The sequence below is a fragment of the Homo sapiens genome, chromosome 12, assembly GCF_000001405.40.
Source record: "Homo sapiens chromosome 12, GRCh38.p14 Primary Assembly".
In the NCBI taxonomy this organism is placed as follows: Eukaryota; Metazoa; Chordata; class Mammalia; order Primates; family Hominidae; genus Homo; species Homo sapiens.
In genome coordinates this window covers 93211287-93237682 of record NC_000012.12, presented here as the reverse complement: position 1 = coordinate 93237682, position 26396 = coordinate 93211287, and the positions used below count along the sequence as shown (strand labels likewise).

General features: G+C 39.6%; 1 long non-coding RNA gene across 1 annotated transcript in view, besides 1 other annotated feature; it reads left to right on the top strand.

The window, feature by feature from the left end:
* The window catches only part of LOC643339 (uncharacterized), a 373979-nt gene that overhangs the window by 140054 nt on the left and 207529 nt on the right, over nt 1-26396 (top strand). Inside the window, exon 3 of the long non-coding RNA NR_040096.1 lies at nt 22004-22101. This is a non-coding gene — a long non-coding RNA (uncharacterized LOC643339). The remainder of the gene's footprint in view (nt 1-22003; nt 22102-26396) is intronic.
* Nucleotides 5544-5744: a silencer, noted in NCBI's record as "peak1892 fragment used in MPRA reporter construct". NCBI's record gives its function as "represses an SCP1 promoter by STARR-seq MPRAs in K562 erythroleukemia cells {active_cell/tissue: K562}" and the evidence as "EXISTENCE:reporter gene assay evidence [ECO:0000049][PMID:32103011]".

The following is a 26396-nucleotide window of genomic DNA, read 5'->3' as shown; positions in this document are numbered from 1 at the left end:
GCTTTTTCAATGGGACACTGAAAGCTGGCCAATAGGCCACCCTAAGGTGTCCCTCTGATTTCATGCCCTCATGACCGAGGACTTCTCTCTTGTTGGCTCTGGCTCCCCTGAAGTCCCACTTACCATTCTCATCTGGCTGAATCTGGCTGAACTTGTGGTGGGGGCTCCTGTCCTCTTTATTTCTTTAGCATTGGTCAAAATGTCCCTGTGGGACACCCTTCCCTGCCCCGTGCCCAGTTATTTCTATCTTTAGAAGGTAGAAACTGTGGATACAAGTGCTGGCTCATTCTCAGCTAGGTCATCTGTCCAGAGCCTTCCTGGGTTATGCAGGCATGCTGTAGCTTTCATTTATCAATGCTTGGGATTGTGAAAACAGCTTTTCACAAACGAAACAACCAAAAACTCCAGACAAGTTTACCTAAATTTGTAAAGGTTTCTAAAGCTGTTTTTTTTTCTTGTGCACAGTTATTTAAAAATGAACAGCAATGATTTATAATGCCAGTGAGGGCAACTGTGTTTAGAATGTTGCACCCACTTCTGACAGCCCCTACTACCCCCTCCTTTCTTTAGAAATGACACTCAGGCCTTTAAAAATGTACATGGTGTGATATAGTAACAAAAATATATTTGGTCACTGCCTCCATTTCCTGGCAGACAGCTCTTAAAACCCCTGGAATTGGCTGGGTGTGGTGGCTCATGCCTGTAATCCCAGCACTTTGGGAGACCGTGGTGGGCAGATCACTTGAGGAGTTTGAGACCAGCCTGGCCAACATGGTGAAACCCTGTCTCTACTAAAAATACAAAAATTAGTTGGGCATGGTGGTGCACACCTGTAATCCCAGCTACTTGGGAGGCTGAGGCAGGAGAATCGATTGAACCCAGGAGATGGAGGTTGCAGTGAGCCGAGATTATGCCACTGCACTCCAGCCTGGGCAACATAGTGAGACTCTGTCTCAAAAACTAACTAACTAACTAACTAAATATCCTGGAATTTCCTTAGTGATAAGTGTCTTTTTGTATGTTAATGAGATGACTGAAGGCTGGGGGCTTCTGGATGGCCTCTGGACAAGCAGGGTGGGGTGGAGGTAGGGTGGCTGGTTGCCAGGGGAAACAATCATGTGATTAGAGGGTTGGGACTTTCAGCCCCACCACTCAACTCTTACCTCCAGGTAAGGGGAGAGGGGCTGAAGGCTGAGGGGGTTGATCACTGATGGCAAGTGATGTAATCGATCATGCCTATGCAGTAATGAAGCTTCCTTAAAAACTCAGAAGGATGGGCTCAGAGAGTTTGTGGGTTGCTGACCTTGCGGAGGTGCCTGGTGGGTGGCATACCTGGAGAGGGCAAGGAAGCTCTGCACCCTGTGTCCAGTATCTTCCCATATGCAAGGGCAACATATCTGTTCCATCTGGCTGTTTCTGAGTTGTACTGAGACAAGAAATTTCCCTTGACCCTTGTGATGGGGTGCTTCCCTTACTCAGCCTGCAGCTCTTAACCCCTTGAGGGAGGGGGAGCATGCAGGTGAGCGGGTGCAGGAGCTGGAGTAAGCGTTTTTGGGCGCCAGCAGGAGCAAAACTCTGTGAGGCCCTGTGACAGCATCTGGGCGGAGAGGGGGTGTGGTCCCTGTGACCCATGAAGCCCCAGAGGGCGTGTGTTACAGTGGTCTTTTAGCATTGCTGTCCACAGATGCCTTAAGTGTTAAACAGTTCAGTGGGCCCTCTACCTATTCATGAGGGCAGAGGATCAGCATAACAGCCTTTAGTGTCTGCACTTGTGGCACCCAAGCTCTTGTTTGGTGTCCAGGAAAACTCAGGTTGCATGAACGAATTGAAGGGTGGTGAATGTGGAGGATTTTATTGCCAATGAAAGTGGTTCTCAGTGGGAAGGGAAGCTGGAAGGGGGATGGAGCAGGAAGGTGATCTTCCCCTGGAGTACAGCCATACCCAGCTGGACTCCTCTCTGAAGCAACACCGTCAAGCTGTCCCTCTAAAGTCAAGCTGCTTCTCTCTGATGTGCAACCGCAGTCTCTGACGTCCATCTGCTTCTTCTCTTCTCCCCTTCTCTGCCCTCCACCAGTTGGGTTAGGGGTTTTTATGGGTACAGGATGGGGGGTGGAGAGGGCCGTGTGTGGTTTTGGAAAAGGCAACATTTGAGCGGGAAAGCAGGAATGCACGTTTTCACTTTAGGTTATGGTTCCATGCTTGAAGGTGGGGCTTCACCAGGGACCCTGCCCTTTTCTGCCTAGAATTTCTCTGCCTCCTGTCCCTATCAGTACCCTTTGTAATAAACTGGTAGTCTAGTAAGCAAAATGTTTTTCTGAGTTCTGTGAGCCATTCTAGGAAACGATGGAACCTGAGATGGGTTCTGGGAAGCTCTGATTTACAGCCAATCAGTCAGAGGCACCAGTGACAACTTGGGCTCATGATTGGTGTCTGAAGTGTGGGGGAGAGGTGGGGAGAAGTCTTGTGGTACTGAGCCCTGAACCTGTGGGATCTGACGCTACTTCCAGGTACATAGTGTCTGAATTGAATTAAATTGTAGGACACCCAGTTGTCCTACAATTGTCTGGCGTGGGAATTGGAGAATTGTCTGGCATGGGAACAGGCCACACATCTGGTCACAGAAGTGTTCTGTGCTGAGTGTGAGCATAGAAAACACTGTTTGTTCTTTTATTTAGTGTCAGATTTGAAGTATTGAGAGTATCTTGGAGGACAAATCTATTTTCCCTAACAATGGGAAATACCAACTACTTGCCAGGGATTGATCTGTAAGTAAGAACTGCCTTAGTAAAGTAAACCCTCATTAGCAGATGGTTATCTCATGGCTTCCTATATTTACCTTTCCATGATGAATGGGAAGACCTGCCATTGCCAAGATAAAGAGTTTTCCTAAAGTTTGGGCAGCCTCCACCTTTCCCAAGCCAGCTGTCACCCCTGGCCCCATTCCTGCCTGGTTGGCAGCAGTCTCTGAAGTCAAGCTCTCTACATCTGGGTTGGGGCCGAGGTGCCAGGAACAGGCAAGAGGAAGCTCTTTTTCCACATCTGCCAACCCCCATCCTTCTCTTTGTTGAGAGCTTTTCTCAAACCTTGTCCCCTTAGAGAAACCTGCCTAAAACCATGGAGTGGCCAGCCCCCTTTCGTGTGTCCACAGGCAAACTTCCATCTAGGTTAGCCACTCTAGATTTTTTAATTTTTATTTATTTATTTATTTTACTTTATTTTATGTTTATTTATTTATTTTTTTGAGACAGAGTCTCACTCCATTGCCCAGGCTGGAGAGCCAGTGGTGCAATCTTGGCTCACTGCAACCTCTGCCTCCCTGGTTTAAGCAATTCTCCTGTATCAGCCTCCTGAGTAGCTGGGATTACAGGCATGTTCCATCATGCCTGGCTAATTTTTGTATTTTTAGTAAGATGGGGTTTCACCATGTTGACCAGGCTGATCTTGATCTTCTGACCTCAGGTGATCTGCCCACCTCAGCCTCCCAAAATGTTGGGATTACAGACGTGAGCCACCGCACCCAGCCAGATTTTTGTCATAAATAAATGCAAGCATATTTCTCCACAAAAGGAATATAAATGACACAAAGGTATATGTGACTATCCATTTTCTTGCATCACTAACCAACCAGATTGAGAGAAAGACATGGTTCTGAGGCTTTAGCCTGCGGAGTGTTCAAGATTGTGGGCTTTGAAATGGGCCTTCCTGGTTCCAATTCAGACACATAGTAGAGGGGCCTTTCAGCCTCCCTATGCCTCATTTTCTTTACTGGCAAAATGCAAATAATGCTAGTATTTACCTTTTGGAGTTGTTGTGAAGATGATGGGACCTTATAAAGCATCTAGAAAGTGCCTGGCTCATATAAACTCTCAATATTCCACCCACTACCCATAATTTTTTTTTTTTTTTTTTTTTTGAGACAGAGTCTTGCTCTGTTGCCCCAGGCTGGAGTGCAGTGGCGCAATCTTGGCTCACTGCACCCTCTGCCTCCCGGGTTGAAGCAATTCTCCTGCCTCAGCCTCCTGAGTAGCTGGGATTACAGGTGCGCGCTACCCAACTAATTTTTTTTGTGTGTATTTTTAGTAGAGATGGGATTTCACCACATTGATCAGGCTGGTCTCAAACTCCTGACCTTGTGATCCACCCACCTTGGCCTCCCAAAGTGCTGGGATTACAGGCGTGAGCCACCACGCCTGGCCTACTACCCATAATCTTAATTTAAAAAAATCAGTCTGCACTCAAGGTTTCTTCCTGAAGCCTTGTGGGAAGGTCTGACTACAGATACACATGTGTCTCTGTTGCTGTAGCTCAGCGTTCATGAGTGTCCTGTTATATCATTTGTGAACCTGCAAAAGTCTTAAAAGAATAGTAAAAAAGGACAAATGGGCAATTCTAATTCTGTACTCTGCTCTGAGCAGAAACTTTTGGTTTATTACAGGCATGAAAGAACTAGAGCTTTAAGTTCACACTGGCCTTATGCATAGAATCCAGAAAAAAAGAAAAATTAGCATAATAGGCATTTTGACTATTTGCTCAACTTTTATAGTCAGTTGGAACAAGCCACCCAGTTTCCAAATTATTCCTTGTACAGGATTTGTAATAGAACAAATCACTCAGTTGCCATGTTTTGTTTTTTCCTTCTGTAGATTGAGAATTACTCTGACCATTTCAATGGGGTTAAAGGTTAATTTCCCGATAATTTAAATTTACTAACTTCACCATTGAAAGAGCTCCATAATCCAATGGGCAAAATAATCTCAACTAAAAGCTGAGATTGAGAAGTTTCTGGCTTCGTGTCCTACTATAACTTCTTAGGTGATATTGGAGGAAAGTAAATGCCACTCCAGTTTTAATTTTTGATGAGGGAAGTATTGCTTTGCCAGGCATTCAGCTGATAGAAATCATATGGTGTTTGATTATCAAGAATCCTGGAGGTACACGTTATCTTTTTGCTTGAGGGGGAACCAGTGCCAGAAGGAAGGAGGATGGTATAAGGGTGAAGAAGGGAGGTTGAGGGGAAAAGAAAGGAAAAATGGAAAAAAGGAAAACCTTTTAATGTTTTCTCCTCTTGGGAATGAACAGCAAAAATTGATTTGGGCTGGGTGCAGTGGCTCAGGCCTGTAATCTCAGTACTTTGGGAGGCTGAGGCTGGTGGATTACTTGAGCCAAGGAGTTTGAGACCACCCTGGGCAACATGGTGAAACCCTGTCTCTACAAAAAATACAAAAATTAGCTGGGTGTGGTGGCATATGCCTGTAGTCCCAGCTACTTGGGAGGCTGAAGTGGGAGGATTCCTTGAGCCCAGGAGGCTGAGGCTGCAGTAAGCCATGTTTGTGCCACTGCACTCCAGCCTGGGCGACAGAGTGAGAACCCATTAAAAAAAAAAAAAAAAAGTTGATTCGGAAGCGATATTGGAGAGGCAGTAAATCTCTCTGTCAAGGTGTGTGTGGCAGCAAGATGGCTGATCTCCCCATCAATCTATCTCCATAATCCTCACCGAGTTCTGCTATCAGAGGCCCTCGGAAGGTGACTGTCAAACAGAGCATGACTTTTCCCAGCATATGGAACATGCCTAGTTTGAGAAGCTTGAGAGGGCCATTAAGAGGCTGCAGCAAAAGGGAATAGATGGTATCCAAGAAACATCTGTCCAATTGACATCAGTTTACATCAAGGCAAAGAAAGTTCTATTGCAGTGTCCCCTGCACATGTGAATTCGAGGTGATGGCTTCTCCTGCAAGGCTGACAATGCAACAACCATGTTATCCATTATTATAATTCACTCACATTTTAGATGTGAAAACCCACCCAAAGTTGTCTCATCAGGGCTGGGATTCAAACTGATTTCCTCAAACTATGACAGCCCCAACCTCAGGATTCCACATTGAATTATTAATTATTTTTTAGCAGAGCTGATGGATATGTTAAAAGAAAACAACAGCAAACAGCAACAACATAACTACCATATAATGTCATAAGCAGTGTAACAGAGGCACATATCAATTGCGTTAGTAACTCAAAGTGGAGAGCAGTTGACGTGAGGGTGAGGGAGGGAAGGTGAGAATGGGGTAAAGTTAGGGAGGCTCTGAGGAGTAATCGTTGTGAAGTTTTATCTAGTATGCTTCTGGGGGAAGAGATCACAAATGGGGCTGCCTGTGGACACATTGTCTTTCACAGTGTTTGAAATTATTTTGAATAAATTTCCAACACTTATTTATTTATTTATTTAGAGATGGAGTCTCGCTCTGTCACCCAGGCTGGAGTGCAGTGGCATGATCTTGGCTCACTGCAACCTCTGCTTCCCGGGTTCAAGTGGTTCTTCTGCCTCAGCTTCCCAAGTAGCTGGGACCACAGGCATGTGCCACCATGCCTGGCTAATTTTTTTTTTTTTTTTTGAGATGGAGTCTTGCTCTGTCACCCAGGCTGGAGTGCAGTGGAGTGATCTCGGCTCAGTGCAACCTCTGCCTCCCGCGTTCAAGCAATTCTCCTGTCTCAGCCTCCTGAGTGCCTGGGACTACAGGCGCACACCACCTCACCCAGCTAATTTTTGTATTTTTAGTAGAGACGGGGTTTCACCATATTGATCAGGCTGGTCTTGAACTCCCCACCTCAGGTGATCCACATGCCTCGGCCTCCCAAAGTGCTGGGATTACAGTCATGAGCCACCGTGCCCAGCCATCCGGCTAATTTTTGTATTTTTAGTAGAGATGGGGTTTCACCATGTTGGCCAGGCTGGTCTCGAGCCCCTGACCTCAAGTGCTCTGCCCACCTCAGCCTCCCAAAGTGCTGGGATTACAGGCGTGAGCCACCGCACCTGGCCCCAACATTTAAAAACAGGATATTTCACATAAAAATAAAAATTTCTCATTTCTCTTTGAAAATTAGATTTGTTAACACGGGGTCCCATGGTTTCACATGGTATCAACTAGCTGACTGCTTCATCCTGGGCAAGCGTGTCGACCGCCCATGTTGTCCTCACTAGGCCTCTCTTAACCCAAGAGGTTGAGAAGATAAAATTTTCTGAGGCATATCAACATGTAAGCTTATAAGTTTAAAGAGCCAGAGGGGTAGGAAAAATCCTTGTTTACTTAAGTAGACTAAAATATTAAAGCAATCTGCTATTTGTTGATATTCTTTACTACTTAGGCTTTCCTTTTATGATAATCACATACAGACATACTTCTACGTGATTATCACAAAAGAGAGCTGAAAATCCTATCGAGATTGTGGAGACGTTGGAGTGAATTCAGAAAGAAATATGCTTCTGAAAAGGGCAGTGATAAACTAGGAACACTAAGGACTTGCATTCCACCATGTTTTGCTGGCTTCTCTGATTACTGATAGAAATACTTTAACAAAATCAACTAATTTATAATTTATTCCATTTTTTCTAATTCTCATATCTGGACATATTATCTAACTTAGAGGCTTTCAAACAATTTTGACCATGACCCACAGCATGAAATACATTTTTCATCACATACATGCATATACATTTGTAACTGCAAAACATTTCAAATCCCAACACTTCCTCTTACATAATGCAACTCTGACATTTCCTATTCTATTTTAATCTGCATTTCATTTTAAAAACAAAAGCCCTGCAGGTCAACCCACTAAATTGATTCCACAACCCACTGATACTTCACAACCTGCAGCGAAAAACGCTGGCTTAACATGAGGACTGACAATGTCTGAAATTATGACTGTATTAGGAAAATCTAGGGTATAATAGTAATGATATTTATACACTGTCAAATTCCAAAAAGGATACCTTGTGGCTGGAGGCACATATGATGACCCCCCGCCCCCTGCAACACTCTGTGGCCAGCTCCTGCTACCTCTGTAATACGGTAGTCCCCATTTATCCACAGTTTCACTCTCTGTAATTTCAGTTACCCACAGTCTACTGTAGTTCAAAAATATTAAATGGAAAATTCCAGAAATAAATAATTCATAAGTTTTAAATTGTGTACTGTCCTGAGCTTCATGATGAAATCTCATGCCATCTCACTCTGTCCCACCCAGGACATGAATCATCCCTTTTCCAGCATATCCATGTTGTATATACTACTCACATGTTAGTCACTTAGTAGCCTTTGCTTATCAGATCGACTGTCACATTACTGCAGTGCTTGTGTTGAAGTAAACCTTATTGTTCTTGATAACAGCCCCGAAGGCCAATAGTAGTGATGCTGGCAATTTTGATATGCCAAAGAAAAGCCAAATATATGCTAAAGAAAGTTAATTTCTTACTGTGCTTAATTTATAAATTAAACTTTATCATAGGTATGGGTATGTATGTATAGAAAAAAATCAAAGTATATATAACATTTCGTACTATCTGCAATTTCAGGCATCTACTGGGGGTCTTGTAATGTATCCCCCATGGATAACAAGGGACTACTGTACTTTGTTCCTGGACCTGGGAAACTTTCACCTCTTATTAGGTACTGCACATAAGCACCCATAACTCAGGATATAGACCATTCCCTTAGAAAAGGCAATTCCAGGTGAAAATGAATTCAAAATGCTAAGAATATTTACAAGTTACATAAAAAACAAAACACTGTAAGATAACTAACAGATGCAATGAATAGGAAAAATAACATCCCAACAAACTGAGATGAAAGAATAATCTGAGTGAGAATATAATAAATATTTTTAAAATATTTATATTTTAATAATAATAAATATAATATAATTTAATATTATTAAATAAATATAATTTAATAATAAGAAATTCAAAGTGTAGGAAAGAATAGGGCAACATTAATGTAAAATTCATATATTTGAAAAGGATACAAATAGAATTTCTAGAAATGAAAATTATGTTCATTGAAAGTAAACCCATTTGGGACTGATTTAATATCTGATTACATAGAGTTGAAGAGAAAATTAATGAACTGGAAAACAGATTCAAGGAAATCATCCAGAATACAGCTTAGAGAAAGAAAAAAAATAAATAAAGGTATGAAAATATCTTAATTTACTTAACTAAGATGAAAACACGAAGAATAGAATGAGATGGTACAATAGATATCTAATAAGAGTTTCAGGAGAGAATAGAAAAAGTGTAGGAGAGGCAGTGTGTGAAAAGATAATGACGAATTTTCCAGCTTGAAGAAAAATATCTTCTCAGGTTAAAGCAGCATTAATAAAAACTAAGAACAAATTCACACCTAGACATACCATAGTGAAGTACCAAAGGCAAAAATGAAAAACTTCATAGCTATAAAATGTTAGACATGCTACCAACTAGTGAACAATAGTTGTAAATAGACTTACAGCAGTACCTTTTCAGCAATAATAGATGTCAAAAAACAGTGGACTCATACCATCGAAGTGTTGAGGGAAAATAATTGTTAACCTAGAATTGTATACTGAGCTAAAATATTTATAAATGAGGGCAAACTAAAGAGATTTTCAAAGAAAGATGAAACATTGAGAGTCACAAACCATTGCTGAAAGAATTGCTAATGGATATACTTTGGATATAATAACCTCATAAGAGTAGGATGCAAGAATGGTAAACAAGCAAATTGGTAAACATGCTGATAAGTCTACATGGGTATTGACTGCTCAAACGTAGACATGTTTAGAGGGTTTTAAAGCAAGGGGGAATGAAAATGCTAGACAATAATAGCATGGAAAATGGAAGGGGGGATTAGAATTAAAGTATTTTAAGAAGCTAATAGTTTTTTCCAGAGAGCAATAGGGAAATTGATTAATTTTAGAATTTTAGTTCAGTATTGCTCAAAATTAAAGGGTAACTATGAAAATAATAAAACAGAACATAAAGTTTTCATTCAAATAGGGAGGAAAAAGGAATATAATGTACACTTCTAGAACATGACACAAAAATTTGAAAATCAAAGAATGGAAAAAAATTATACAAAAATACTGAGTAAAAAAAAGCTGCATTAACAATATCACCATCAGTCAAAAAAATTTTAGACAATAATCATTCTTGGGGATTAAAGAAGACATTAATAAAAGGTACATGTCTCCAAGAAAATATTACTACATTTGAACTTACATACATTCAACAACTTAGCCTCAAAATATGTAACAGAAAAATTTGACCAGTAGAAATCAACAAATTTATGATAAAAAGGGAAGAGATTTTGTCATATCTCTCTCAGAAACTGGTAGATCAAATAGACCAAAAATTAGTAAAGGTATAGACTATTTAAATAACACAATTTAAAAAATTTATTGCTGACATATAAACTCAGATTCAAGCATATATGATAATATATGATGGAAAGACATTGTAAATCAATGAATTGTGAATTATTCAATAGACAATGCTGAAATAGTTCACATGGAAAAATGAATATCCGTTCATATGAACATATCAATTTAGAGAGATTTAAGACCTATTTGTCAGATCAGAAACTTTAAAAAATGAAGGAAGAAAATATAGGAAATGTCTTTATGACTTCACAGTAGAGAAAGATTTCTTAAAACAAGACCATAATAAATGTAAATCATAAAGACAAGGACATTATATACAAATCTAAAAGAAATTCACTAATTGGGAGAAGATATTTGCAACACATAAAACTGACAAATACCAGTATCTAGACTATATTTAAAAAAACATAACTTCTTTAACAAAATAAAAAAAGGACAAAAAAACTCAAGGGAAAAGGGATAAAGCATATAATCAGGAAATTGTAGAATAGGAACCCTAGATAATCAATAACATTTGACAAGGCACTGTATTTCACTAATAATTAAAGCAATGCAAATTAAAGCCACAATGAGATAATACAATTTGACATCTATTATTTTGGCAAAAAATAAAGCATCTAACAATATCGACAGAATTTTGGGAGATGGGAACTCATATATTACTTGAGGCTGTGTAAATTTGTTCAACTATATTGAATGAGCAATTTCACAATATCTAGTTAACTTAATGATGTGGTAGATATATTGGTTGGGTACCCAAAAGCCATTTCCAACAACTTCTCCCTTCTCATCTCCCACTGTAGAGGCTGGAAAACCCAAATACTAACTTTCCCATTCTCTCTTGCATCTAGTGGTTGCTATGTGACTCATTTCTAGCCAATGAGAAATAGGATGTCTGCTGGATGGTTTTATGTACTCTCCCTCACTGCCTGATTTTGAGTATGGTCTGAGGAAGTGGTGTTTAGAACTGCTATAGTCATGTTGAGACAATGAAGGGAAGGTCAAAAGATTAATAAAGGCACTGATCTCTTAGCCATTGAATCAATTCCAGCAACATTCTTCTCTAGACCTTTTGTGAGCCAGGTTTTCCCTTGCTGTATCCAAATGCTCCTCATTGATCCTAAGATCTAGTAATTGCCTTTCCAGGTGTACACCCTAGAGGAACTTACATATTTGGAAGGATTATTCATTGTTTGTAAAACAAAAAATGGAAACTAACCTAGATGACCATTAGTAGAGGAAGGGATAAATAAATCATGGTACTGTTTCTACAGTGGAATACTCTAGAGCAGTTAAAATAAATAAACTGGGTCTACATGTTCCAACACAGACAAATCTCACATCAATGTTGAGTGAAAGGAGCAAGTTGAGGAAAGCTGTATAGTGCATAATAGCATTTGTGTCAGATTTTTAAAGCACATGAAACAACATATTATGTATTATATGAGTATATACATATATACATATTATATGAGTATATACATATATACATATTATATGAGTATATACATATATACATATTATATGAGTATATACATATATACATATTATATGAGTATATACATATATACATATACATATATACATATTATATGAGTATATACATATATACATATGCATGTACAGACAACACATAAATATGTATACACACATATATATGTATGTTATAAAAGTGTAAAAGTATGGACAGAATGATACTTACCAGCTTTAGAATAGTTTTTACTCTGGGGAAGGAGAGAAATGGGGTCACCACAGAATACAAAAAAAGATGTGACTGATAATAATCTTTAAGAATCTGAGTGGCAGGTAAGTGGGTGCTTATATTATCTTCTGTGGGTCTGAAAAAAATTCGTAAATGAAAGGATAATAGAAAGATAATGCTGAGGCACAATTCGCAACTGCAAAGATATGGAAACAACCTAAGTGCCCACCAACCAATGAGTGGATAAAGAAAATGTGATCTATATACACCATGGAATACCACTCAGTCATAAAAAAGAATGAAATAATGTTTTTTGCAGAAATTTGTGTGGAGCTGAAGGCTATCATTCTAAGTGAAGTAACTCAGGAATGGAAAACCAAATACTATATGTTCTCATTCGTAAGTGGCAGCAAAGCTGTGGGTATGCAAAGTCATATAGAGTGGTATAATGGACTTTGGAGACTAAGAAGAGGGAAGGGTGGGAGGTGGATGAGGGATAAAAAGCTATATATTGAGTACAAAGTACACTCCTTGGGCGACAAGTGTAGTAAAATCTCAGACTTCACCAATGTACATTTCACCCATGTAACCAAAAACCACTTGTACCCCAAAAGCTATTGAAATAAATAAATAAAATGGAAAAAGAAAGATAAAGTTGGAGATAGGTAAAGGAATGAGTTGGAGGGGAGAAAGACATGGCCAAGTTCTGGAGGCCATTACAGTAATTCAGGTCATATAAGAGGAAGAAGGTCTGAACTGGGCCAGGGACCATGGAAGTGGAAAGAAGACAATTTTGAAATATATCTTAGAGCTAAATGAGCTACATGAGAAATTACATGCCTGACAATGATTTTTTAGTTTATATAGATTTTTCTTTAAAAATTATAAAATTTACATGGCATAAAATATATTATTTTAGCTATTTTTTAAGTGTACAGTTCAGTAGCAAGTACATTCATGTTATTGTACAACCATGACCACCATTCATCTTCAGAACTTTTTCATCTTGCAAAGCTGAAATTCTGTAGACATTAAACCCTAACCCTTCATTCCTCCCCTCCAGCCCCTGGCAACCACCATTCTACTTCCTGTCTCTATGAATATGACTTATCTAGTTAAAATGATTAACTGGATTTACAGGTATTCACATGGACAAATCTTACATCAATGTTGAGTGAGGGGCTAGTTCCACGATGAGTGGAATCATACTCAGTTTCCCCTTTTGTGGCTGGCTTATTTCACTTAGCATAATGTCTTCAAGTTTCATCCATGTTGTAGCAGGTGCAGAATTTCCTTCTTTTCTAAGACTAAATAATATTTTGTTTATCTATTCATCCACTAATGGACATTTGGGTTACTCCCATATTTTGGCTACTGTAAATAATATTATTATGAACATGGGTGTACAAATATCTATTCAAGTCCCTGCCTTCAATTCTTTTGGGTAGGTACTTAGAAGTGGAACTGCCAAATCAATGGTAACCCTGTTACAGTGGGAAGATAGTGAGGTATGAGCAGGGCAGGAGAGGGCCCCAGCCCCTGCAACACACACACACCAGGAGTGTTGGGCAACATCGTTAACTGTTTCTGTAAAGTAATAATTGGTTACAGCTCCTGCCAGGGAAAGGCAGTCTCCTAATAGATAGAAAACATTTGAAACTGATCAGCAGCTTCCCAATAAGATCTCAGGAGTGAGAAGAAGTAATGCAAGATCCTGGAAGCACGCCAACCTATAAAACCCCAAATCAGGAGGTCACGCTGCCTGCTTGGCCTTCTTCCAAGTGTATTTTCCTTCCTTTCTTTACTGCTTTAAAGCTTTTTAATAAACTTTCACTCCTGCTCTAAAACTTGCTTCAGTCTCTCCTTCTGCCTTATGCCCCTCAAATTCTTTCTTCTGTGGTGGCAAGAATTGAGGTTGCTGCAGACCCATATGGATTAGCTACCAGTAACAATCCTATTTTCAGTTTTTTGAGGAAGATAATACTTTTCATAAAGGTATAATTTTCATATTACAGCTACTGTGAAATAATGTACTACCTTAGAATATTCATGTTTCCTCACCATTGCTTTCCAGCAGCCTGCCAAGTTTGCAAATAAAAACTCTCAGATATTTTGTTACCATGGATATGAGGCGCACAGGACTTTATAGAGTAGAACCAGGCTCTGGGGACAATCTGCCACTCAATGATGAATACATGAACACTCATTAAGAAAACCTAATATGGTGATTGAGAAATTGCCTCTGCCTTCTCTATTAAAATGTACACTCGTTAGTCTAGTCTGTTTTGTTTTGGGACTATACAACCTTAACTGCTGATGGTTTTCCCATGTGCTCTCAGCAAGGTCAAGTGAGATGACAAAAAAGAAAACTCCTAAATCCCAATGAGAGCCATTGATATTTAAATAAAATAGAAACCCAAGGCTGGGCACAGTAGCTTACATTTATGATCCCAATGTTTTGCAAGGCCGAGGCAGGAGGACAGCTTGAGGCCAGGAGTTCAAGACCACCATGGGCAACTTAGTGAGACCTCATCTGTATAAAAAAAAACAAAAAGAAAAGAAAAGAAAAGAAAACCCCAACCAGATAAAGCCCCCAAACCCCCACCTTTATTTCTAACAATTACATAGGTAATGAAGGTTCACTGTAGGATAATAAAAAATATATAGATACATAAATTTAAGGTGATTAAAATAATCTATAATCCCACCTACTTTTTGTTAAATTTAGATTATTTTCTAGGCGTAAATATATTTAACGTGAATTTTAACTATAAAACAGATCCATACTCTATTGTTTTGTAACTTTCCCCTCAATTAATATATTGTGCACATATTTCCATGTCATATCTGTTAAAATAAAATATATTTAAAATTACAAAATATCCATTGATGGATATATTTATTCAATGTTGTGTTGTTGGACTCTTTTATTTGAAATTTTATCTTGCCAATATGGCAATGAATGTTTTCCTGGCTATATTTTTAAGTTCATCTTTATTTTTTATGATAAATTTAAAAAATAATATGTCTCTTTGGGAGGTTGAGGTGAAACGACTGCTTGAAGCCAGGAGTTTGGACCAGTCCGAGCAACATAGTGAGACTCCATCTATAATAATAATAGTAATAATAATAATAATAATAATAATAATAATATGGCTTCATCAAATGGTATGCATAGATTCTTATTTCTTTCCAAAAGAGAAAACATTTACATATTTTTTAACATTTACAAATATATACATTTATTATTGTAAGTTCAAATAACACAAAAAGGAATAAAAAAGAAAGTTAAAATTGTTCCTGGTTCTCAAGATAATTGTTAATAATTTAATGAACATTCTTTTAGACTTTGAGTGCATATATACAAATGCATATATTTATTTTTTAACTTAGTGGACTTTTTCATGTCATTAAATATTATTTTACAGTATCATTTTTGATGGTTTCAAACTAGTCTGCATTTGTGTTACCCAAGTCAATCCCAGTTTCTGTAGCTTTGCCAAGGAAAGCTGGCCCACACAGAACCCCTGCTAAAAGGGCAGGGTACCCTTCCTCTCCTGCTCCCTCTCTGCCAGCCACTGGCTGATTGGAATGAGACTAGGTATAGGACACATGCACAATCACTGGATTGTCAGGGTGCCCAGTGCAAAGTCTCTGTGCAGACTGGAAAGATGTAGACCTACAATGACCTCATTGTTAGATTGGAGCTGGGAAATAACCAGAAAGTTAAACAGTTCACAGTGGATTCACAGCTTAAAGATGCATGGGGAAATGGCAAGAGATGCCTTCAAAGGTCATAATGTCACTGAAATGCCAGGGGTTCAGTCTAGGTCACCTTTCTCACATCACAGAAAACCAATCACTGAGACAACCAGTATTGCCAGGGAAGAAAACTTTTTATTTGGATCTTGTTAGCTGGAGAGAGGAGAGATCAGCCTCAAGTCCATCTCTCCCAACCAAATAAAATTGGGGGTTTATTTAGTGGTTATACAGCAGGGTATGAAGGTAGCTGTGTAGGGGAAAACAGAAATCATGGAGGGGTCAGGAAGCAATCATGACGGATGAGGGGTCTGGCATCTTCACTGGCTGGATGCAGTGATCTGATGAGTTTCAGTTTCTTACCTGAGAGTCAGTTTCCTGAGGAAGGAACTCAGATAAAACAATGTAAGTTTCAAGTTTTAAGATCAAGGAGAGTCAATTTCTGTTTATTTAAAAAACCATAAACATCAGTTCTATGGGACAATTGGGCCAGTATCAACAAAAAGGTCAGTCAACATTATGGGAACACAAGAAGTATGGGTAAGATAAGCCATGAGGTTGATACAAATATGTACCATAAAGAGTAGTATTTTAGGATATAGGCTTTGGAGTCAGATGAGTATTTGAATATTAATACTTCTCCTTTAATGCTATGTGGCTTGGATTGATTAATCTTCTGAGCCATAGTTTCCTTATCAGTAATACATGGATAATTCTGTATCTGTTACTGAGATGCTGAAAGAATTTATTGAGAAAATATAGGCAAAATTTTTAGCACAGTCCCAGACACATAGAAGCACTAAATAAAGGCAGTTATTATTACAGTTATTTCTTCCCAAGTGTACCTTATGTTTGATCCTGTACTATCTTTTGAATCTCCTGGCATATATCAATTTATGAATATGTAATGTGGGGGCCATAGGCTCTTGGCCCCCTAAAGGTTCACTGAAAATCACTAACATGAGGCAGATTGCTTAGTAGGAGAAAAAGCATACAAATCTATTTGCCATGTATACACGGGAGCCTTCAGAATGAAGGCCCAGCTACTCAGTGTGGTATAGAAGCTTATAAACCATCTTGAGGTTACAGAAGGAATGGGGGCTTGGATCCTGGTAAAACAGGTTATAGAAGAGGGGGAAGAGGAATTCTATTAAGGGGCAATGCAGGATTAACTTGTAAATAGTTCTGTTTGGAATTTAAATGATAAAGGGGTCTGCTCAGGTGTGGTTATATCTTGGTAAGAAAAAACAATTGTTCTTGGTGGGTCTGCATCTTAGGCAGCTAAAGAAACTTCAGCTTCGCTTGGACGGGGGCAGGGAAGGTCAGAGAGACCCTGACGCTTCTTCAGCTCAGGAAGGCAAAACATCATATTCTGGGGTATTGGTTTTTGAGCCCCAACAGTTATCAATAATTGTATGTTGAGTTCCAGGAAGTTTTCTTGTATTTAAGTCTGGATTTTTTACTGACCAAACTTCTGAAATAGCTGAATCAATTTTCTAATCCACAACTTTTTTCTATAACGATAAAAGGAGATTCTACCTAGACTGCTTGTTTAATTTTGGGGATATAAAACTTAAGTTTTCTTTTTTTTAAGTCTCCTGAAGTCTTGAATGGTTGTAAGACTCACACAATAAAAAGGAGTATTAGCATTTAAATATCAGTTGGCAACTGAGTAGGCTGTACTCTCATAGAACTGGAGGTTTCTTACCTTTTTCTCTTAGAAAGTAAGTACTTTTCTTACTTAGTAAGAATTTTCTCTTGCTGGAGTGGCACAAAGGGCGGTGGGTGGATTCAATTTCAGTCATGTCAACCTTCTCTTTATTTCCCTCCTCTCCCTACAGATAATTAAGGACTACGTGGTGTGTATAAATAGCTTCAGTTGAGAACATCCTCTTATCTTTGCCCCTCTCATCACCAAGTAGGGCCCCTAACTGATGTTGCAATTAGAGTACTGATTTAGCTCTGAGAGACACATTGCAAATGATCTGCTGAGGAGGATGGTATTTATATCAGTACTGACTGATGAAGACTTTGTCAACTGTACCTTTGGCAGATCATCTGATGGCATGCCCCTGGGTTAATCTACTTCTCATTATAAACGATGACCCATGATGATGTGTTTTCTGAACCACTCATCTTGCATAGAGTGCCACAATGTGGAACAGCCCTATGTAAATTCTGATAATTAAGGAAATAATCCAAAGTATAGGGGTCAACAAAAAATCTGCAGAGGTCAAGACATTTGGTGACTTACTAGGGCACAGTAATTTGATGTCGATTTGAAGGAATTCAGACTTCTGTATTGCAGGTTTAATTGTCTCTTTTGACATAGAGAAAGGAAATAAAAATATACTACTTATGTTTCCCATAGAAAGATTGGGCAATTTGAGGTTGTCTTTTTTCATTTCCTGGATGCTGTGAGTACTTCAAAATCACAACATATTCTCAGGTCAAGTAAGTAATATGGAGTCAGAAATTTGAAGATGGTTTCGATTATTTGACTAAAGTTAAAAGCCAGTGATTGAGTACATATATTAAAATATACAAATATGCATATTATAATTATATATTATATTTATCATATAACAATTATATTTTATAGTATATAATTATAATTTATAGAATATTTAAAATTTTTCTCCTTTGTGAAAGTAAAAATGTAGTGGAAACAGTGATGGGGAGTTGAGCTAATTCTTATCCTCACTTTGTCCTGAATGGCTAGAAGATTGATATTACAGTCCATTAGCATAAAGATTCATCTCTGCTCTCTTCTTTGATATGGAGTATTGATATTTGTAATCTTTTGGGAGGAGATTTGCAAACATAGCGGCATGCCCCTCCTGCTCTTTCTTTTACTCCTAAACAGATTACCGTTTCTAAGCCTTTCCTACCTAAAAATCTTTCTATTGACCAAGTGTGCACAAGGAGTCCAGATAATGTTGCAACATAGAAAATCATAACTCAGGCTGGGCATGGTGGCTTACTGGACATGGTGGCTGACTCCTGTAATCACAGCACTTTGGGAGGCTGAGGCGGGTGGATTACTTGAATATAGGAGTTTGAGACTAGCCTAGGCAACATAGGGAAACCCTATTTCTACAAAAAATACAAAAATTAGTCTGTAGTGGCATGTGCCTGTAGTCCCAGTGACTCAGGAGGCTGAAGCAGGAGGATAGGTTGAACCAGGGAGGCAGTGAGCTGAGATTACACCACCGTACTCTAGCCTGGGCGACAGAGTGAGATCCTGTATCAACAATAACAACAACAACCAAAAAAAAGCAAAGAAAAGAAAATCATTGCTCAGTACATACTGAGCTGTCTGTCTGGTGTGCGCAAGGGCACTCCTCTTCCTCTCCTTCCAGTGTCTCCTCGTCTTTGGACGCTACCTCTTCCTCTCTGTTTTGGCTCCAGTGCTCAGCCAATCAGATCAGTCCTGTTGAAACTGAAGATGAGGGGCATACAATAAATCCTTAATCTTGAGCAAAGGGTAGAATGAAAATTGTACCTTCTGGTCCTGTCTCAGAGTGAAGTAGCTACTAAACTAACTTCTTTCACTAGCTTGGCCCATTCCTTAAGACTTTTGTGCCATGTTGTTTCTTTATTTTCTCTTATCATAGACCCACTGTGTTGTTCTAACTTAGATGAAGACAGTGGAAAACTTTGGATTACTGTACAATCAAGGCCTTTCCCATCTTTTATCAATATCTGGACCCCTCCTTCCCTTGTGACTAGTGGCTCTGGGCAAAACACAATCTGTATGCTCATCTCAAAAATGTTAGATGTGGCCCCTGGGAGGATAAAAAAGGAAGCAGGAAATCAATATGTGCTGTAGGACAAAATAGATGAAGGACTCTTAAAGCTCGAAAATAAGAAAAACACAGCCCAATTAAAAAATGGGCAAACAACTCAAAAGGAAACTTAAATATAAAAATGCCCAATAAGCATTTATAAGATATTCAGCATCATTAGGAAAATGCAAATTAAAACCACAAAGAGATACCACTAAACCCAAAATAAAGTAGCTAAAAAAAACTTTTTTAACCCAAGTGCTGGCCAGGCACAGTCGCTCACGCCTGTAATCCCAGCACTTTGGGAGGCTGAGGTAGGCAGATCACATGAGGTCAGGAGTTTGAGACCAGCCTGGTCAACATGGTGAAACCCTGTCTCAACTAAAAATACAAAAATTAGCCAGGCATGATGGCAGGTGCCTGTAATCCCAGCTACTTGGGAGGCTGAGGTGAGAGAATCACTTGAACCCAGGAGGCAGAGGTTGCAGTGCACCGAGATTGCACCATTGCACTCCAGCCTGGGCAACAAAGCGAGACTCTGTCTCAGAAAAAAATAAAAAATAAAAATAATAATAACAAAAAAAGAAACATAAAAAATCCAAGTGCTCATGAAGATGCAGAGGAACTCTCTCTTTAATTTTTTTTTTTCTTTTTTCCCGAGATGGAGTCTCACTCTTATTGCCCAGGCTGGAGTGCAGTGGCCTGATTTCGGCTCATTGCAACATCCGCCTCCCAGGTTCAAGCAATTCTCCCACCTCAGCTTCCCAAGTAGCTGGGATTACAGGCATGTGCCACCACACCCAGCTAATTTTTGCATTTTTCGTAGAGACGGGGCTTCACTATGTTGACCAGGCTGGACTTGAACTCCTGACCTCAAGTGATCTGCCCACCTCGGCCACCCAAAGTGCTGCGATGATGGGTGTAAGCCACTGTGCCCAGCCTCTCTCTTTTTAATTTAACTATAATAGAGATGGAGCCTGCTGGTCTTGAACTCCTGGGCTCAAGTGATCCTCCTCCCTTGGCCTCCCAAAGTGCTGGGATTATAAGCATGAGCCACTGTACCCAAACTGGAACTCTCTCTTAAATATTACTGGTGGGAATGCAAAATGGTATGGATACTTTAGAAAAAGTTTGGCAGTTTCTTATAAAGTTAAAATATCATTACCTTATGACCCACTAATACCAACTTTAGATGTTTATCCAAGCAAATTGCAAATATATAGTCACATAAAAACCTGTGTGCAAGTATTTATAGAAGCTTTATTCATAAGCACCCTGTATTTGTTTGTTTTCACGCTGCTGATAAAGATATACCTGAGACTGGGCAATTTACAGAAGAAAGAGGTTTAATCAACTTATAGTTCCACATGGCTGGGGAAGCCTCACAATCATGGCGGAAGGCAAAGAGGGGCAAATCACATCTCACATGGATGGCAGCAGACAAAGAGAGATAGAGCTTGTGCAGGGAAACTCACCTTTTTAAAACTAACAGATCTTGTGAGACTTATTCGCTATCCGGAGAAAAGCATGGGAAAGACTTGCCCCCATGATTCAATTACCTCCCACTGGGTCCCTCCCACAACATGTGGGAATTCAAGGTGCGATATGGGCGGGGACATAGCCAAACCATATCACATCCCAAACCCCAATGTCCTTCAACTGGTGAGTGGATAAACAGCCTGTAGTCCATCCAAACAATGGAACTCCACTGAGCAATAAAAAGAAACTAGCTTCTGATACATGCAACAACTGGGTGAATCTCAAATATCTTATGCTAACTGAAAGAATCCAGACTCAAATAGGTATATGCCACATGGTTTCATTTATATGATATTCTGGAAAAGGCAAAGCTGGAGGAATAGAAAACACATGGTAATTTTCAGGGGTTGGAGGCGAGGGAAGGAGCTGACAACAAAGGGTTGTAAGGAATTTTTAGAGATAATCGGAATGCTTTATATCTTCATGGTTCTGCCTACATGATTGTACCTGTCAAAAATCACAGAACTATACACTACAAAGGCTAAAAACTTAATACATGTAAATTACATAGAATAGAAAACAAAGATAAAATAAAAGTTATCAATAATGGCAAGTTGCTTCTTTGAGAAAACTGACAAAATCAGACACATCTCTGGTGACATTAGCCAAGGTTGCCAAAATTAAATAGAGAGAGAGGGTGGGACATATGGGAGAAGGGACCCATCCAAAGCAGCTTCTCTTCTTCTAGAAACCTAGGCTCAGGACTGTAGAGGGAAGGGGCAGTGAGTAAAGGCTGGAGAAATAACACTTGTGGGGTGAGATGAAAACATCTGAGGTCAGTTTCCCTGCTAATGAGGGGGCAAAAGGGTGATTTAACAGCAGTCTTTGAGTTTCTATGCCTTCTTGACAGTTTGATTATGGTTCAATTTAGCAAGAATGAACAGCTTAAATAATCTTTAGCATATGATAATGGAGTGTGTCTATGGAATTATATGGCTTCTCTGAAAGGTAAAGCACTTGTAGTGCCTTTTAAAATGAAAATGCAGCATGCGGAGGCTTGCATTGTGAATTTTATCTCCAGATCAACTGCAAGAACAAACCAGCAATCCTGAGAGGAACCACAGACCCTCTGAAAGAAGTGGACTGCTTCTGCAGGACCTGGGAGACACCCCAAATACTGTGAGTGCCCCAACTGTTGAATTGGGAAAGGGAGATCCTCCTTTCCCGAACACACACCCCCACTGGAGAAACTGAAGTACTGTTTGTGGGAGAAGCTTCTGACTTTACATGATCCTGAGTCAAGTTAGAGAGCTGAGCAAAACACAGGGGTAGAGGAAGCAGCAGAAAGGCCTTGGGAGCTTGCTGGGTCCCCAGACAGCCCATTCCTGCCTGACACCACAGGGATCCATCCAGAGGGTGGCCAGAGGAGCAGAGGGTAAAACTCCACAGGGAGAAGGAATTCTCTAGTTGAACTTTGTAACAATTTAAACAGGGCAAGAAGCCTCCTGGCCAGAACTAAGGGGAGGGCGTGAATCAGGTGTTCAGACTTCACAGGCAAGGGCAGAACTAAAGCTTTTTTCTCTTGCAGCTGGGAGGCAGATAGCCTTGGGCAAGTTTTCAAGCCCTTCTCACCCTCCACCTGGAAACAGACTTGGGCTGTTGTGGGAGGCATGGTGGGAGTGAGACTGGTACTTTGGTTTGCCTGGGAGCTGGTAAGGCCTGTGACTGCCGGCTTTCTCCTGCTTTCCTGACAACCTGCATGACTCAGAAAAGGCAGCCATAATCCTCCTAGGTACACAACTCCAGTGACCTGGGAATCTCACCCCCATCCCCGGCAGCAGCCGCAGCAAGACCCGCCCAAGGAGAGTCTGGCCTCAGACACACCTAGCCCTGCCCCCACCTGATGGTCCTTCCCTATCCACCCTGGTAGTGGAAGACAAAGGGCATATAATATTGGGAGTTCAAGGGCCCCACCCACTGCTGGTCCCTCTCCATACTGCTACAGCTGATGCTTTCTGGAAAGTGCCACCTCCTGGTAGGAGGCCAACCAGCACAAAAATAGAGCATTAAACCACAAAGCTAAGGACCCTCATGGAGTCCATTGTACTCTCCATCACCTCCACTGGAACAGGTGCTGGTATCCACAGCTAAGTGACCCATAGACAGTTCACATCACAGGACTCTGTGCAGAAAACCCCCAGTACCAGCCCTGAGCTAGGTAGACTCGCTGGGCAGCTAGACCCAGCAGAGAGACAACAATCACTGCAGTTCAGCTCACAGGAAGCCACATCGATAGGAAAAGGGGGAGAGTACTACATCAAGGGTACATCCCGTGGGACAAAAGAATCTGAACAACAGCCTTCAGTCCTAGGCCTTCCTTCAGACAGCCTACCCAAATGAGAAGGAACCGGAAAAACAACCCTAGTAATATGACAAAACAAGGCTCTTCAACACCCCCTCAAAATCATACTAGTTCACCAGCAATGGGTCCAACCAAGAAGAAATTCCTGATTTACCTAAAAAAGAATTCAGGAGGTTAGTTATTAAGCCAATCAGGGAAGGACTGGAGAAAGGCAAAGCCCAGTGCAAGGGAAAAAAATGATTCAGGAAATGAACGGAGAAATATTCATGGGAATAGACAGCTTAAAGAAAAAACAATAAAAAATTCAGGAAACTTTGGACACACTTTTAGAAATGTGAAATGCTCTGGAATGTCTCAGCAATAGAATGGAACAAGTAGAAGAACGAAATTCAGAGCTCAAAAACAAGGTCTTTGAATTAACTCAATCCAACAAAGACAAAGAAAAAAGAATAAGAAAATATGGACAAAGCCTCTAAGAAGTCTGGGATTATGTTAAATGATCAAACCTAAGAATGATTGGTGTTCCTGAGGAAGAAGAGAATTCTAAAAGCCTGGAAAACATGTTCGGGGCAATAATCGAGGAAAACTTCCCCGGCCTTGCTAGAGATCTAGACATGCAAATACAAGAAGCACAAAGAACACCTGGAAAATTCATCACAAAAAGATCTTCACCTAGGCATTGTCATCAGCTCATTCAAAGTTAAGATAAAGGAAAGAATCTTAAGAGCTGTGAGACAGAAGCACCAGGTAACCTATAAAGGAGAATCTATCAGATTAACAGCAGATCTTTCAGCAGAAACCCTACAAGCTAGAAGGGATTGGGGACCTATCTTCAGCCAAAACAGTTATCAGCCAAGAATTTTGTATTCAGTGAAACTAAGCATCATGTAAGAAGGAAAGATAGATACAGTCATTTTCAGACAAACAAATGCTGAGTGAATTCACCGTTACCAAACCACTAGTAAAATAACTGCTAAAAGAAACTCTAAATCTTGAAACAAAACAAAACAGAATCTCTTTGAAGCATAAATCACACAGGATCTATAAAACAAAAATACAAGTTAAAAAGCAAAATCAAAAACCAAAAAACCAAAGTACACAGGCAACAGAGAGCATGATGAAAGCAACAGTACTTCACATTTCAATATTAACATTGAATGTAAATGGCCTAAATGCTCCACTTAAAAGGTACAGAACCACAGAATGGATAAGAACTCACCAACCATCTGCTGCCTTCAGGAGACTTGCCTAACACATAAGGACTCACAAAAACTTAAAATAAAGGGGTGGAAAAAGGCATTTCATGCAAATGGACACCAAAAGCGAGCAGGGATAGCTATTCTTATATCAGACAAAACAAACTTTAAAGCAATAGTGGTTAAAAGAGACAAAGAGGGACAGTATATAATGGTAAAAGGCCTTATCCAACAGGAAAATATCATAGTCCTAAACATATATGCACCTAACACTGGAGGTCCCAAGTTCATAAAACAATTACTAATAGACCTAAGAAAAGAAATGAGATAGACAGCAACACAATAATAGTGGGGGACTTCAATACTCCACTGAAAGCACTAGACAGGCCATCAAGACAGAAAGTCAACGAAGAAACAATGGATTTAATCTATACCTTGGAGCAAATGGACTTAACAGATATATACAGAACGTTTCATCCAACCTCAGAATACACATTCTATTCGACAGCCCATGGAATTTTCTCCAAGATAGACCATATGATAGGCCATAAAACGAGCCTCAATAAATGTAATAAAATTGAAATTATATCAAGCACTGTCTCAGACCACAGTGGAATAAAACTGAAAATCCACTCCAAAAGGAACCTTCAAAACCACGCAAATACACGGAAATTAAATAACCTGCTCCTGAATGAGCATTGGGTCAAAAACAAAATCAAGATGGAAATTTAAAAATTCTTTGAACTGAATGACAATAATGACACAATCTATCAAAGCCTCTGGGATACAGCAAATGCGGCGCTAAGAGGAAAGTTCATAGCCCTAAACGCCTACATCCAAAGGTCTGAAAAAGCACAGGCAGACAATCTAAGGTCACACATCAAGGAATGAGGGAAACAAGAACAAACCAAACCCAAATCCAGCAGAAGAAAGGAAATAACCAAGACCAGAGCAGAACTAAATGAAATGGAAAAAAACAAAAACAAAAATAGAAAAGAAAAATGAAACAAGAGCTGGTTCTTTGAAAAGATAAATAAAATGGATAGATCATTAGCAAGATTAGCCAATAAAAGAAGAGAGAAAATCCAAATAACCTCACTAATAAATGAAACAGGAGATATTACAACTGACACCACTGAAATACAAAAGATCATTCAAGGCTGCTATGAACACCTCTACATGCATTAACTAGAAAATCTAGAAGAGAGGGATAAGTTTCTGGAAAAATACAACCTTCCAAGCTTAAATCAGGAAGAATTAGCTACCCTGAACAGACCAATAACAAGCAACAAGATTGAAATGGTAATTTAAAAATTACCATTTCAAAATAAGTCCAGGACCAGACGGATTCACAGCAGAATTCTACCAGAAATTCAAAGAAGAATTGGTACCAATTCTTTTGACACTATTCCACAAGATAGAGAAAGAAGGAACCCTCCCTAATTCACTCTATGAAGCCAGCATCACCCTAATACCAAAACCAGGAGAGGACATATCCAAAAAAGAAAACTACAGACCTATGTCTTTGATGAACATAGATGCTAAAATCCTTATCAAAATACTAGCTAACTGAATCCAACAACATATCAAAAAGATAATCCACCATGATCAAGTGGGTTTCATACTGGGGATGCAGGGATGGTTTAACATACCCAAGTCAATAAATGTGATACACTACATAAACAGAATTAAAAACAAAAATCACACGATCATCTCAGTAGATGCAGAAAAAGCATTCAACAAAATCCAGCATCCTCTATGATTAAAAACTCTCAGCAAAATCGGCGTACAAGGGACATACCTTAATGCAATAAAAGCCATCTATGACAAACCCACAGCCAACATAACACTGAATGGGGAAAAAAGTTGAAAGCATTCCCTCTGAAAACTGGAACAAGACAAGGATGCCCACTGTC